Consider the following 17,161-nt stretch of genomic DNA (forward strand, 5'->3'; position numbering starts at 1 on the left):
ATCATTCTCAGCAAACTAGCACAGGAACAGAAAACCAAACACTGCATGTTCTCACTCATAAGTGAGAGTTGAACAATGAGAACACATGGACACAGGGAGGGGAACATCACACACCAGGGCCTGTCGGGGGGTGGGGTGGTGGGCAAAGGGAGGGAGAGCATTATGACAAACACCTAATGCACGTGGGGCTTAAAACCTAGCCTGGTCTGCCCAGGCTCCTCCCTCCCTGTTACCACAGCTGCCCTCCATCCCCTGCAGGGAGTAGAGATGGGATGGGGTCAGGCAAGTACACTGGATGGCAGCCACACTAGCAACACTGTGGTGCATCTGGTGAGCAGCTGACCAGTCTGTATCTCAGAAGAGGAAGTCTCTCACCCGCTCATCCCTGATCCAAGAACCAATCTTCTAGTGACATGGAAGCTGAAAGATCCTTGGGTTTCTCCTGTCTTTCATGGGTTGCGGAATGTGCCCATAGGAAGGGGATATGCCTGGCTTGACCATCCCAAACCCCACCCCCAACCAAGGCACAGCTCGCAGTTTGGCTGCTGGTGGGAATTGGTACCTGACCTGCATGGCAGGTCATGGCCCCAGATAAATATGAAGGTCCGTACTTGTCCACAGAATATCCTCATGCCCAGTGTCTATACTTGTTCCTCAAATATCGTCATGCCCAAGCGCCTGTGAAGAGAAAAGGATCCTATCTTCTTCTTTATAGTTTCCCTGAATCTGGTGTTTATCTTAGGCACTCTTTGAAGGGGATGAGCCACCAAATTCAAATTGTGTAATTTCAGTGTTTCTGTATATGAGTTAGATGCTCTGATATTTGAATTTTAAACTAGCACTGCACAGTATAAATGAATGGTAAAACTCATGTTAATAAATTTTTAATTTTTTTAACTTAAAACATTAAATAGCAAATAGAACACACCAGGCCAAGTCAAGAGAGACCACAGAAGAAAGGAAGTTTATGTGAATCCTTATTGGATAATATATTCCTGCTTTTTGAACAAGACGCCTCAAATTTTCATGGTACACTGGGTCCCTCAAATTATGCAGCCTCCATGATTTGACTGATTTTCAATCAGCAAAGGAGTACCTTTTAAGTGTAGATATCCTTCTAAGATCTCCTTAGAATGTGTAGATTATACTTTTCTCCATGCCTTATAATACTTCACTTATCTCTATATTTCTGTATGTGTTTTTAAATTCTGTCCTTACTAAATTATAAATTCTGTAGACAACAACTGTACCTTATTTATCTTTTATCTAATTCCTCTTAAATCTAGTACAATGGTCCAAATATGGAAGATTCTCAATTAAAATTGCTGCATGCCTGAAAATCACAAATAAGGAAATATGTAAAATGCCCATATGGTTTGGATGTTTGTCCCCTCCAGATATCATGTTGAAATGTGATCCCCAGTATTGGAGGTGGGCCTGGTGGGAGGCATTTGGGTCAAAGGGCAGATCCTTCATGAATGGCTTGGTGACAACCCCATGCTAATGTGTTAGTTCTTGCTCTTTTAGTTCACTTAGTGGTGGCTGGTTGTTTAAAGGAGCCTGGCACCTCTGCCCCCTCTCTCCCCCTTCTCTTGCCATGTGACATACCTTCTCCCCCTTTACTTTCTGCCATGAGTAAAAGCTTCCTGAGGACTCACCAGCAGCTGAGTAGATGAGGATATAATGCTTGTATAGCCTACACAACTGTGAGCCAAATAAACCTCTTTTATGAATTACCCAGTCTCAGGTATTCCTTTATTGCAGTGCAAAATGGATTAAGAAAAATGCCTCCAAGTAGCTTGTTGTCATTATAGAAATAAGAACCCAGAAAAGAGATAAATCCAAACTTTCCATGTTCATGCCTGTTTCTTTCCTGAGCTTCAGGCGATAGTTCCAACTGCTTGCTGGATAAACATCTTCATCTGAATGCCCCATGGACATCTCAAATTCAACATGCCCAGCTTATCTTTATCTACCTTCACCTCATCACTTCCTTCCCTCCTTTTGGGGTTTGTAGTAAATGGCTGCACCATTTCCCTTGTTACTCAAGCCAGAAATGTGACCACTGTGCCTCAATCTTTCTTCTTCCTATCTCCCATATCAATCTTTGAGTCTATTCATCTTACCAGCTGTCTCTCTTGATATTTACTTTTAAAATCTATTCATTTCCTCATATTGCCAACCACCTCTCCAACCCCCAGTTCAGGACATCCCCATCTATTGCCTGGACTATACTTGTCATTCAGTCTCTCTACTTTTATTATTTTCCCTCCTTATCCTTCCACCTACATTTAATTGATACAGGATATCTTGAAATATTTGACTGAAAAGTTTTCATTCTGTTTTATATTGGTAAATTGATAAAATAGTTATATTCAAAAACTGCTTTTATAATTCCTCAAAACCACAATGAGATCTCACTTTATACCTACCAAGGTGGCTATAATTTCAAAGTTTTTTTAATTAAAAAAAAAAAACAGGCCAGGCATGGTGGCTCACACTTGTAAACCTGGCACTTTGGAAGGCTGAGGCAGGTGGATCACTTGAGCCCAGGAGTTTGAGACCATCCTGGAAAACATGGTAAAATCCTGTCTCTACAAAAAATAGAAAAATTAGCTTGGTGTGGTGGTGCATGCCTGTAGTCCTTGCTACTCAGGAGGCTGAGGTGGGAGGATCACTTGAGCTTGGGAGGTTGAGGCTGCAGTGAGCCATGATTGTGAAGAAAAAGAAGGGAAAGGGAAAGGGAAATAAAAAAAGAAAAAGGGAAAGAAAAAAAGAAAAGAGAAAGAGAAGGAAAAAAAGAAGAAAAAGAAAAAAAGAAAAAGAAAAAAGTGTTGGTAAGGATTTGAAGACTGAAACCCCTGTGCATTGCTGGTGAGAAAGTAAAATGGCACAGCTAGTGTGTAAAACAGTTTCACAGCTCCTCAAAAAAGGTAACTATAAAATTATGTGGGCTAGCAGTTTTACTCTTAGGTACATACCCAAAGGAATGAAAATGGACTCAACCAGATACTTGTATGCCAATGTTTGTTTGCAGCATTACTTACAATAGCCAAAAGATGGAAACAGTTCCAGTACCCATCAACAGATACATAGATAAAGAAAATCCAGTGTATCTAGGTATACAATGAAATATCACTCAGTCATAAAAAAGAAGGAAAGTTCTGATACCTGCTACAACATGGATGAACCTCAAAAACATTATGCTATATGAAAGTAGCCAGGCACAAAAGGACAAATCCTATACAATTCCACTTACATGAAATAAGAAAAACAGGCAAGATCATAGACACAGAAAACAGATTAGAGATTTCCAGGGGCTGGGGTGAGAGGGAAGTAAAGAGTTATTGCTTAGTGGGTACAGAGTTTCTGTTTGGGTGATAAAAGAATATTGGAAGTAGATAGTGGAGATGGTTATACAACATAGTGAATGTAATTAATACTGCTGAAATATACACTTTAAAATGGTTAAAATGCCCAATTTTGTGCTATATTTTACCACAATAAATAAAATTCTTTCCAGAAATAACGTTCATGTACATGAAAGCAAAAAAAAATCCTTATTTATATGGATTATCTGAAATTTAAAATTATATTAGAATAATTATTCTTGGTACATATTTATGTGTAATATTTACTTTCTTTGCTGTAAATTACACTATGTGAATGTTATTTTCCCCAAAAAATTAAAATTTTCATTAAATTATCTGAATTTTTTTATAGCTGAATTTTACGGTTAAAAAATTTGAAGTTGTTACACCTTTAATGGACTCTTCCCTGAAGTCCGCATTATGTTTCACTGAGAGAGCACTCTTATTTATTATTTATTTACTTAGAGACAGAATCTTGCTCTGTCACCCAGATGGGAGTGCAGTGGCACGATCTCGGCTCACTGCAACCTCCGCCTCCCTGGTTCAAGCGATTCTCTTGCCTCAGCCTCCCAAGTAGCTGGGACTACAGGTGTGCGCCTCCATGCCTAGATAACTTTTGTATTTTTAGTAGAGATGGGGTTTCACCATATTGCCCAGGCTGGTTTCAAACCCCTGACCTTGCAATCCGCCCACCTCGGCCTCCCAGTGCTGGGATTACAGGCGTGAACCACCATGCCCAGCTGAGAAAGCACTCTTCACAGTATCTGGTAAGCCCATATCAAAATTGAATGTTGTATATTGAAATTATAGGTATTTCAGGTCAAATATTTTCACAGATACTATCTTTCTGCCATTCTTTAGAGTGCTTTTCTGCAATACATAATTTTACAAAACAAATTTGTTCAAAAATTTGCCTCTATTTATGATCCTTCTGAATGCTACATCAAATTTAGATGCTAAATATCATAAATCTTTTCACGTCCTTCCGTCTTAGCAGTCTTAGCATGGAATACTGATTCATCCAGGTAAAAACAGGAGCTCCATTAAAAGGTTATTCCCACTAATGGAAATATTGCAAGGCAAAATTTAGAACTTCAGAATTAGATATTACATACGACTTAAGTCCTCATTAGGTATTTCCATTCTTCTCTTACATTGCAGAGATAAATTTGAATGTCTTCCTACTTCTAAGCTTTCCTTTGTCACCCCCAGTAAATATAATTTGTTAAATAATTTTTTTGGGTTTCCATTTATTAAAAACTTGCATTAAAAATTCTCAACTTATTTTAAACAAAACAGTCCAAGGAATTTCCACAAAATTTTAAAACCACAGTAGGCCACTTAGGCTGATTTGCAGAGAGTCCTCCAAAGGCTTGGACATGTCTAAAATTCAACATAGTGTTGGAAGTTCTGGCCAGGGCAATTAGGCAGCAGAAGGAAATAAAGGGTTTTCAATTAGGAAAAGAAGAAGTCAAATTGTCCCTGTTTGCAGATGACATGATTGTATATTTAGAAAACCCCATTGTCTCAGCCCAAAATCTCCTTAAGCTGATAAGCAACTTCAGCAAAGTCTCAGGATACAAATCAATGTACAAAAATCACACGCATTCTTATACACCAATAACAGACAAAGAGCCAAATCATGAGTGAACTCCCATTCACAATTGCTTCAAAGAGAATAAAATACCTAGGAATCCAACTCACAAGGGACGTGAAGGACCTCTTCAAGGAGAACTACAAACCACTGCTCAATGAAATAAAAGATGATACAAACAAATGGAAGAACATTCCATGCTCATGGATAGGAAGAATCAATATTGTGAAAATGGCCATACTACCCAAGGTAATTTATAGATTCAATGCCATCCCCATCAAGCTACCAATGACTTTCTTCACAGAATTAGAAAAAACTACTTTAAAGTTCATATGGAACCAAAAAAGAGCCCACATCACCAAGTCAATCCTAAGCCAAAAGAACAAAGCTGGAGGCATCACGCTACCTGACTTCAAACTATATTACAAGGCTACAGTAACCAAAACAGCATGGTACTGGTACCAAAACAGAGATATAGATCAATGGAACAGAACAGAGCTCTCAGAAATAACGCTGTATATCTACAACTATCTGATCTTTAACAAACCTGAGAAAAACAAGCAATCGGGAAAGGATTCCTTATTTAATAAATGGTGCTGGGAAAACTGGCTAGCCATATGTAGAAAGCTGAAACTGGATCCCTTCCTTACACCTTATACAAAAATTAATTCAAGATGGATTAAAGACTTAAATGTTAGACCTAAAACCATAAAAACCCTAGAAGAAAACCTAGGCAATACCATTCAGGACATAGGCATGGGCAAGGACTTCATGTCTAAAACACCAAAAGCAATGGCAACAAAAGCCAAGATTGACAAATGGAATCTAATTAAACTAAAGAGCTTCTGCACAGCAAAAGAAACTACCATCAGAGTGAACAGGCAACCAACAAAATGGAAGAAAATTTTTGCAACCTACTCATCTGACAAAGGGCTAATATCCAGAATCTACAATGAACTCAAACAAATTTACAAGAAAAAAACAAACAACCCCATCAAACAGTGGGTGAAGGATATGAACAGACACTTCTCAAAAGAAGACATTTATGCAGCCAAAAGACACACAAAAAAATGCTCATCATCACTGGCCATCAGAGAAATGCAAATCAAAACCTCAATGAGATACCATCTCACACCAGTTAGAATGGCGATCATTCAAAAGTCAGGAAACAACAGGTGCTGGAGAGGATGTGGAGAAATAGGAACACTTTTACACTGTTGGTGGGACTGTCAACTAGTTCAACCATTGTGGAAGTCAGTGTGGCGACTCCTCAGGGATCTAGAACTAGAAATACCATTTGACCCAGCCATCCCATTACTGGGTATATACCCAAAGGACTATAAATCATGCTGCTAAAAGACACATGCACACATATGTTTATTGAGGCACTATTCACAATAGCAAAGACTTGGAACCAACCCAAATGTCCAACAATGATAGACTGGATTAAGAAAATGTGGCACATATACACCATGGAATACTATGCAGCCATAAAAAATGATGAGTTCATGTCCTTTGTAGGGACATGGATGAAATTGGAAATCATCATTCTCAGTAAACTATCACAAGGACAAAAAACCAAACACTGCATGTTCTCACTCATAGATGGGAATTGAACAATGAGAACACATGGACACAGGAAGGGGAACATCACACTCTGGGGACTGTTGTGGGGTGGGGGGAGGGGGGAGGGATAGCATTAGGAGATATACCTAATGCTAAATGACGAGTTAATGGGTGCAGCACACCAGCATGGCACATCTATACATATGTAACTAACCTGCCCGTTGTACACATGTACCCTAAAACTTAAAGTATAATAATAATTAAAAGAAAAGAAAGAAAAAAAAATAAAAAAACCAGGAAATTCTACAAAAACCAAAATAGACAAATGGGATCTAGTCAAACTAAAGAGTTTCTGCACAGGAAAAGAAACTACCATCAGAGTGAACAGGCAACCTACAGAATGAGAGAAAATTTTCACAATCTACCCATCTGACAAAGGGCTAATATCCAGAATCTACAAAGAACTTAAACAAATTCACAAGAAAAAAATCAAACAACCCCATCAAAAAGTGGGTGAAGAACATGAACAGACACTTCTCAAAAGAAGACATTTATGCAGCCAACAGACACATGAAAAAATGTTCATCATCACTGGCCATCAGAGAAATGCAAATCAAAACCACAATGAGATACCATCTCACACCAGTTAGAATGGCGATCATTAAAAAGTCAGGAAACAACAGGTGCCGGAGAAGATGTGGAGAAATAGGAACACTTTTACACTGTTGGTGGGACTGTAAACTAGTTCAACCATTGTGGAAGACAGTGTGGCAATTCCTCAAGGATCTAGAACTAGAAATACCATTTGACCCAGCCATCCCATTACTGGGTATATACCCAAAGGATTATAAATCATGCTGCTATAAAGACACATGCACATGTATGTTTATTGTGGCACTATTCACAATAGCAAAGACTTGGAACCAATCCAAATGTCCATCAATGATAGATGGATTAAGAAAATGTGGCACATATACACCATGGAATACAGCCATAAAAAAGGATGAGTTCATTTCCTTTGTAGGGATATGGATGAAGCTGGAAACCATCATTCTCAGCAAAGTATTGCAAGGACAGAAAACCAAACACCACATGTTCTCACTCATAGGTGGGAATTGAACAATGAGAACACTTGGACATAGAGTGGGGAACATCACACACCAGGGCCTGTTGTGGGGTTAGGGGAGGAGGGAGGGATAGCGTTAGGAGATATACCTAATGTAAATGACGAGTTAATGGGTGCAGCACACCAACATGGCACATGTATACATATGTAACAACTGTGCATGTTGTGCACATGTACCCTGGAACTTAAAGTATAATAATAAAAAATAAAATAAAATAAAATAAAATAAAATAAAATAAAATAAAAATAAATAAAATCCAATTGTTGATGAGAAGAGAAAAAAATAATTGTGCCATGAAAAAGTAGTTTTGTGTATTTAACATTATCAGCATCGTGAACTCGTATAGACTGTTTACATATTGATTTTTATATATTCAGAGTTCTAGCTACTCTGAATATATTAAAAATGTATTTATTTGGTAGAATAGCAGCTTGTTCAGTTGCATTTATAAAGTATGTATGCACCACAAGAAAATCCAAGTACATATATTTCAGCTCCATAAGTTTCTTAAATTTACTATAAAAATAATGGTTTATACCATGCCTGTTGTCCTTCACCAAATTTGTATTTCTCTTATCACAAAATAATTCCTTGTACAAAGTTGAACTTTTAAACTAAATTTGCAATAGCAATCACAATGATGCCAACCAAATGAACTTCCAAAAAAAGTTTACTTTGGTTCCATGAATTATATATTTTTTAAAAAGGGAACATTATTGGAATTGGTTTCTATTATTTAAAGCATCTGATAATACCAGCATAAACTGGTATCATTTGACTCAGAATTTTTCTTCTATTAATGGAGCCAATATATTAAGAATTTTCACTTCACTTGGTAAGTTCACTAGAAAACTTGGAAATGAAGATGAGCAGAGTAGTTATTTGCTGTAATACAAAGTCATGTTTCATGGAGTAATAAGGAAATGCACTTTCTGCATCTGTACAAATTAAATTGTTACACAGTTTTCTTATAAATATTAAATTTTGTAATAGATTTTTCAGCAGACTTTTCATTTGGTTAGTGATATCATTTTATGCAAGTTATCCAATCACCATCTACTTTCTCAAGAAACAATTCACTACTTAATTCTTCATTGAACATAGGTTTTTGACTATTTAAACTCATGGCTGCTGAAAGCATTTTTTGCTAAATAAAAGAGCACCATCAAACAATGAAACTAAGTAAATAATTGTAGACTTATACCCTCTAATAAATGGCAAACCCACTGTAGTAAATATTGAGATTTCTCTTTTTATGCTTTACAGAAAGACCACCCAACTGCTACTTCCTGCTCATTATTTCATGTACATTTAACCTTTACTGACCATGATGGTTTCCTGTGTCTCATAGACTGGCATAACTGGCTGGCACATCAGATAGAGAAGTTTCAAATACTTCTCCCACCACTGCCCAAAACTTAAAGGGCTCAGACATAGTTACCTACTGGGCTAGTTTATGGTAAGCACCCTGCATATTGTCCTTGAAAGGAAGATGCCTTTTAGAGTTAACCACATGATCAGGTGAGAATTCTGTTCACTGACAAACATCTCAAGTGCTACAAAAAGAGATCCTGGTAGAAGCCAGAAATACAGAGTTATTAATTTGTTAAAAATGAAAAATCTAAGACAAATGCTAAAAATAGATAAGACACTAGAACAGGCAACTTATTCCGTTTTGTTATCCAACTTATCTTTTCCCACTGAAGCCAGTGTGATGTTTTTGAAATGTAAATTTGATCTTGTCCTTATTAAATTCCTTCAATGGCTCCTTCTAAGCTAATGTTCAAAACCTTTGGGATAGCCTATGACGTTCTTCATGAAATGTACTTCCTCATCACTTGCCATCCCCACCTCACATAGTAGAGTTCACCTTCTCTGAATAAGGAGAAACATAGTAGTACAGGGGGAACTAACTAAATTTCCTTAATAAGCTATCCTGCCGTTATTTCCTTGCAAGATCTAAGATCTGCCTGTGGGCCTGGCTGACTCTTCCCCTTCCTTCAGGTATCAGGCCAAATGTAACTTCTTCAGGGAATACCTTCTGGACTGCAAGAATGAGTAAGGAGTCTTTCCCATCTCTCCTTGCTGTGCTCCCCGCTCTTAACACTCACTGCTCTCTAGTGGAATTTAACCTGTGTTCTTTTCTGATCCTTCTGTTTTAACTAGTGTCCAAGAAAGCAGACATGTCTTACTTACCATTATACAACTATATAGTCCACATAGTTAGCCCTTAAAATATTATTTACATACATGAATGACAATAAAAGACAGCATATAATCAGTGCCAAATTAGTAGTATAGAGAGAGAATAACTGCTGTGAGTACAGAGGAGTAAGAGTACACTTTAGACCCACTAGATTTCACTAAAGATATATTTGGTCTAGATCCTAAGGAGCTCAAATAGGAAGGGTCAGTGTCAGAGTTAAGGTTAGGCTTAGATTTCAATAGGGTAGGGCCCAGGACATACGTAACGATTGGAGCAGCTTGCCTGCAGAGTATGTGAAAGGGCCTGGAACATAATGAAAAAGATCAGTGAGGCCCCATTGTAGAAGGTCTTGGATTCCAGTCTAAGACATTTACTTTATCTTGTAGGCATGGGGAAGTCACTAAAAATTTGTGGGTCAGCATTTTACAATACAGCTAACTAGATTTAGTTTGATAAAGAACAAACTGGAAATCCTGAAGCTCTACATTTCTAACAAATACTTCCTCAATTTAGACTCACAGCTGGGTCTGCCTTCCATAATCGCAATCACACCCCCAGAATAAAAACTAGACAATGAATTTCTATAGATGCCCAGAAATTCCTAGGAGGCTGAAGAGTATCATCTTAGTCTTAAAAAAATGCACACAGTGTTAACAGCTCAGTAATTGGGAAGGGTCTTCAAATCCTTCCAGTAATGGAGTTAGATATACCTGATGTTGGCAGTGGCATTCAAGCTAATTTCTCAAATATGAATTTGAAAACTCATTATATAGATGTACACAAGATGTTCTAATCTTTTTTCCCCTTATTCTGAAGCCTGTCAGAAACTGCTTACCAGTTGAATGGGATCCAGTGTAGAAATGTAGTGTGTGTAGACTGACACATACACACAGCACCAATGTGATTCAGACGTGAATTGACTTGGCACAAAGCTGTTGCCAGCCATGTTATTAAATGCACCGCTCTAGTAATGACTGTCCCACTTCCTGAGGCTTCATCCCACCTCCCACTAACCTTGCTGTCTTTCATTTTGAATTGAAGTACCCATTAAGGAATCCAGAAGGGCTCTTTCTCCATTAACACTAGCAACATTTTATCATATACTATCTGGTTGGTTGGCCATATGTATCTACCTTCCTACCCATAACACAAACACACATGTGGCAAATATGTCCTTACTAAGTACCAATGCAGATGACAATTTGGGAGGAGTTCACTTAGTCAATTCAAATGGCAAAGGGGATAAAAATGGTAAATTTCACAGTTCAGCAGTAAAACAATAGTACCCTGTTATTTAACCAACATGGACAACAATCCTGTCTTAAAAATATGCATCTGACCAGTTTCTCTTACACTCAAAGACTTTCACCTTCCAGAGACACAACCAATAATTTTGCTCATCCAGAGCCAATAATTTTGTCTTCCACACTCTAGGTTGACAATTTGTTCTTGAAATAAAGTTGTCAGTATTATGCTCATCAGTCATCACCAAAACTTGTCACAGCTAGGATGGTGTAGCTTAAATGTTTTTCATACTTTTAAGATAACAGCCTTTCTCCTAAACACATTTTTGCTCTATTGCAATAAAAGAAAAACAAGTGCAGGAAAGTTTGCTTCTGAAAATGAATATGAATAATTCCTCAAAGCTGGCTTGCACATACCACTTTGTTTTCACCAGCTGTTTTCTATTTCCACTGTTAGGAACTGGGATTGTGGTTTATTTTAATGCAAAAGAGGTGTTGATTCCATTACAGGAGTGGTTCCCATATATTATGGCAGAATCAGCAGGAAAGCCTATTCTACTCTTTGAGTGGGATAAAAACACTCAGGACTTAGTCATTGAAGATGTCTCTTTTGCTGTGAGGATTCAAAATGTAAAAGATGAGCTACAGTTGGAAAAATTTAGTAGAAATACATCATGTACTATTACCTTTAGACTATCAAATTCCCAAAATAACAGACCTATCAGTCCACTGTAACTAAACTGGATGTCTGAGCATACCATCTTTCACTGAGTCTCCCACCAGCTACCTCCCCAGCACAGCTGGTTGGCACTGTTGCCCATTGCCCTCCTCTTGCAATGACTAAGGGAGACAATTAGGAGAATATAAGGTAAAACAAAAGCTTTTTTTGATAGAAGATGTTTTTTAAAAAATTATACAACTCATGCTACTTCTACCTCATCCTCTACACATAGGGGCTCTACATGTGAAAGCAGAAAATTATTAGCAGAGCAAATAATAAGCAGTAGTTAAGATATCAGAAACCACCCAGACAGCTCTGATCACTTTTGTTCTTTTTGGCAAATGGATTAAATTCCAATAGCCATAATGCTTATCTCCTATGTCCTCTTTAAGAAATCTATTTGATGCAAAGTACTCCATTAACCATTTTCAATTGTAGCATGCACAAGAGAGCTGGATGGTCTTCGAATACAGCCTCTGTAGGCAGGCTGCTTACAATACTCCTCCTTCCTTACATTCCTCCATCCTTTCTGGCTCTCTCTTTCATTTACTTCTTCTTGCTCTCCCCTTCCTAGGAGGGAGTTTTGTTTTCAATTAATGAAGAAAAACAGAGTTTCTAGCCCCTGATTGTCCTTCTCAGAGCATCTTTGGACAACAACAGCTGCTCGGCATCTGTGGGAAATTGTTTTATTCAAGAGATTGGGGAGCATTGATTCAATTCAGTAGACAAGAGAAGTCAAAATTACCATTAGCTACATTAGTGCACTTACTGCTCCAGACTGTGAAAGGAATTGTGAGGCTCCTCACTCAGAGGCCACATGAAGGCAATGAAGGAAACCACAATTACCTCCCTGAAGATCTCTCACCAGGACTGTAATTGGGCATGCCACAGTACTCAGTGTTAGCTGCAGTGAACAGCCAGCCTGTCATTGCATGTACAGGAACCATCCTGGAACTAAAAGTCTTGATGACTTCTGAATCCATTTCTCATAATGTAATCAATAAAATGCTTCATCATGACCCATCAAATCCTGCAGACATTACTAAGAGGCACAAATGATGCCTTGCATTAGACTCTAACATCTCCACAAAGGAGAAAATGGAATTCTCTGATTTCACCACTTACTAAACCTATAGACAAGGGGAAAAAACCTACCCCCACTCCCAAGTTGGCACAACCTCCTACTACAGACCTATTTTATTTCATTTCATCTCCTTCTCAAACTAGCTTTTATTTGGGAGGCGCGTCATGTCAAATACATACTTCTTTAAAAATCTATGATTTACTGGTACCAAAATAGAGATATGGACCAATGGAACAGAACAGAGGCCTCAGAAATAATGCCACTTATCTACAACTATCTGATCTTTGACAAACCTGACAAAAACAAGAAATAGGGAAAGGATTCCCTATTTACTAAATGGTGCTGGGCAAGACAGGGATGCCCTCTCTCACCACTCCTATTCAACATAGTGTTGGAAGTTCTGGCCAGGGCAATCAGGCAGGAGAAGGAAATAAAGGGCATTCAATTAGGAAAAGAGGAAGTCAAATTGTTCCTGTTTGCAGATGACATGATTGTATATCTAGAAAACCCCATCGTCTTAGCCCAAAATCTCCTTAAGCTGATAAGCAACTTCAGCAAAGTCTCAGGATACAAAATCAATGTGCAAAAATCACAAGCATTCTTATATACCAATAACAGACAAACAGAGAGCTAAATCATGAGTGAACTCCCATTCACAATTGCTACAAAGAGAATAAAATACCTAGGAATCCAACTTACAAGGGATGTGAAGGACCTCTTCAAGGAGAACTACAAACCACTGCTCAATGAAGAAAAAGAGGATACAAACAAATGGAAGAACATTCCATGCTCATAGGTAGGAAAAATCAATATCATGAAAATGGCCATACTGCCCAAGGTAATTTACAGATTCAATGCCATTCCCATCAAGCTACCAATGACTTTCTTTACAGAATTGGAAAAAACTACTTTAAAGTTCATATGGAATCAAAAAAGAGCCCGCATTGCCAAGTCAATCCTAAGCCAAAAGAACAAAGCTGGAGGCATCACACTAGCTGACCTCAAACTATACTACAAGGCTACAGTAACCAAAACAGCATGGTACTGGTACCAAAACGGAGATATAGACCAATGGAACAGAACAGAGTGCTCAGAAATAATGCCGCATATCTACAACTATCTGATCTTTGACGAACGTGACAAAAACAAGCAATGGGGAAAGGATTCCTTATTTAATAAATGGTGCTGGGAAAACTGGCTAGCCATATGGAGAAAGCTGAAACTGGATCCCTTCCTTACACCTCATAAAAAAATTAATTCAAGATGGATTAAAGACTTAAATGTTAGACCTAAAACCATAAAAACCCTAGAAGAAAACCTAGGCAATACCATTCAGGACATAGGCATGGGCAAGGACTTCATGTCTAAAACACCAAAAGCAATGGCAACAAAAGCCAAAATTGACAAATGGGATCTAATTAAACTAAAGAGCTTCTGCACAGCAAAAGAAACTACCATCAGAGTGAACAGGCAACCTACAGAATGAGAGAAAATTTTTGCAACCTACTCATCTGACAAAGGGCTAATATCCAGAATCTACAATGAACTCAAACAAATTTACAAGAAAAAAACAAACAACCCCATCAAAAAGTGGGCAAAGGATATGAACAGACACTTCTCAAAAGAAGACATTTATGCAGCCAACAGACACATGAAAAAATGCTCACCATCACTGGCCATCAGAGAAATGCAAATCAAAACCACAATGAGATACCATCTCACACCAGTTAGAATGGCGGTCATTAAAAAGTCAGGAAACAACAGGTGCTGGAGAGAATTTGGAGAAATAGGAACACTTTCACACTGTTGGTGGGACTGTAAACTAGTTCAACCATTGTGGAAGTCAGTGTGGCGATTCCTCAGGGATCTAGAACTAGAAATACCGTTTGACCCAGTCATCCCATTACTGGGTATATACCCAAAGGATTATAAATCATGCTGCTATAAAGACACATGCACATGTATGTTTATTGCGGCACTATTCACAATAGCAAAGACTTGGAACCAACCCAAATGTCCAACAAAGATAGACTGGATTAAGAAAATGTGGCACATATACACCATGGAATACTATGCAGCCATAAAAAATTATGAGTTCATGCCCTTCGTAGGGACACGGATGAAGCTGGAAACCATCATTCTCAGCAAACTATCGCAAGGACAAAAAACCAAACACCGCATGTTCTCACTCATAGATAGGAATTGAACAATGAGAACACATGGACACAGGAAGGGGAACATCACACACTGGGGCCTGTTGTGGGGTGGGGGTCTGGGGGAGGGATAGCATTAGGAGATGTACCTAATGTTAAATGACAAGTTAATGGGTGCAGCACACCAACATGGCACATTTATATACATGTAACAAACCTGCATGTTGTGTACATGTACCCTAAAACTTAAAGTATAATAAAAAAAATCCATTCTGATTTTCTTTTAAATTGGTGCCACATTAAAGAATCAGCAACATTAAGTATATTATGCAGCACTGTGGCTCTTTATAGCTTAAGGAGAAAAAGTCCCACATTTCCAGTGCTTTCAATTTTTCACCTTCCCTTGTGAGATCTCATATTCTAAATTTCTTAAGTGCTCACTAAAGAGAGCCTGAATCTGAATCCCAGACCAAAAGACTGCTTAGAAATGCTTAATGAATTAGAAAGCATCATGAGTTTTTTTATCCAAAACTACAAGCTTGAAAAAGATAACTTAGATCACAGATCCAATCACATGGAGTTTCCTTAGAAACAGCAAACCATATTCCCTTGGAGAAAAGGGCTTAAAACCAGCAAAGGGTTGATTATAACTCCTCCTCTGTAGTCACGACTGAGTTGACCAACAGTGGCAACTTTATAAAAGGAAATGAAGATGTAAACTGAGCACAGTGAGCCAGATTCTCCCTCAAGAATTTGAGCTGTAAGGCAGACTAAATAAAAAATATGATGACGGGTACAAGAATTGGAAGCAGCAGCATGTGGAATTGGGTCATGCAGCCATAATGGGCATGTGCTGATGAAACCATTTAGGTTTAGTAGGAGATATTGATAAACACTGATGAACATGCAGATTGGACAAAAGTCCCAGCCTGCCTGCCACCGGCATCCAAGAACACTGTCCCAAGGGCCTAGGAGTTGACATGCCCTGCCTGTGGCTTCTGGCTCACATGTGGACCATCAGAGGACCTAACAACAGGACCAGAACACCTGCCACCTGCACTCAAGATTCCCCATCCACCACGGTCTGAACAGGCACACTATCTGGGGGCCTGAGAATAGGATTCCACTGCCTGGTGCCACCATCACCACCCACACAACCTACCAACTTCGGGACTGGCCTTGCTGGCCTGCTACTGCCACTGCTGCAAACCACACAAGCCACCTACCATATGACCCAGAAATCCCACTACTGGGGATTTAACCAAAGGAAAGGAAAGAAAAATCAGTATCTCAAAGGGATACCTGCACTCCCATGTTTTTTGCAGCACTATTCACAATAGCAACAATATGGAATCAACCTAAGTGTCCATCAATGTATGTACGAATAAAGAAAATGTTATATACACACACACACACACACACACACACACATATATACAATGGAATATTATTTAGCCATAATAAAAAATGAAATCCTGTCGTTTGCAGCACCATGGATGGAACTGGTGGTCATTATGTTGTGTGAAATAGCCAGGCATAGAATAACAAATATTGCATGTATTCACTCATATGTGGGAACCAAAAGTTGATCTTATGGAAGTAGAGAGTAGGATGATAGTTACCAGAGGCTGGAAGGGTGTGTGGTTGGGAGGAAGGGATGAAGAGAAGTTGGTTAATGGGTACAAACATACTGTTAAGATAGAAAAGTAAGCTCTAGTGTTCGACAGCACAGTAGGGTGACTATAGTTAACAATATATTGTATATTTCAAAATATCTAGAAGATTTGAGATGTTACCAACATAAAAGTGTTCAATATAATAAATAACCTCACTTGATGTTTTCTATGCATGTATCAAAATATCACATGTGCCCTCTAAACATGTACAAATATTATGTAGCAGTTGAAAAAAAAAACACGTAGACTTAAAGGACAGAGGAAGCATCTTAACTTTTTGAATTTCCAGTTCTAGTTTCTGCATGACCTTGCTCTACTTTGTTTTCTATTCCTAAATGTATGCATTCTACTTTAAGTGGGCTTTTATTCCCTACAAGCAATAAATCTTTTTTTAAAAAATTGGATTATAACTGGCCCAA

The 17,161-nt window shown here is 38.3% G+C and overlaps 1 long non-coding RNA gene across 1 annotated transcript in view; it reads right to left on the reverse strand.

The window, feature by feature from the left end:
- The window catches only part of TET2-AS1 (TET2 antisense RNA 1), a 181,528-nt gene that overhangs the window by 145,271 nt on the left and 19,096 nt on the right, over positions 1 to 17,161 (reverse strand). The gene's annotated exons all lie outside the window — the stretch shown is intronic.

The sequence above is a fragment of the Homo sapiens genome, chromosome 4, assembly GCF_000001405.40.
Source record: "Homo sapiens chromosome 4, GRCh38.p14 Primary Assembly".
NCBI lineage: Eukaryota > Metazoa > Chordata > Mammalia > Primates > Hominidae > Homo > Homo sapiens.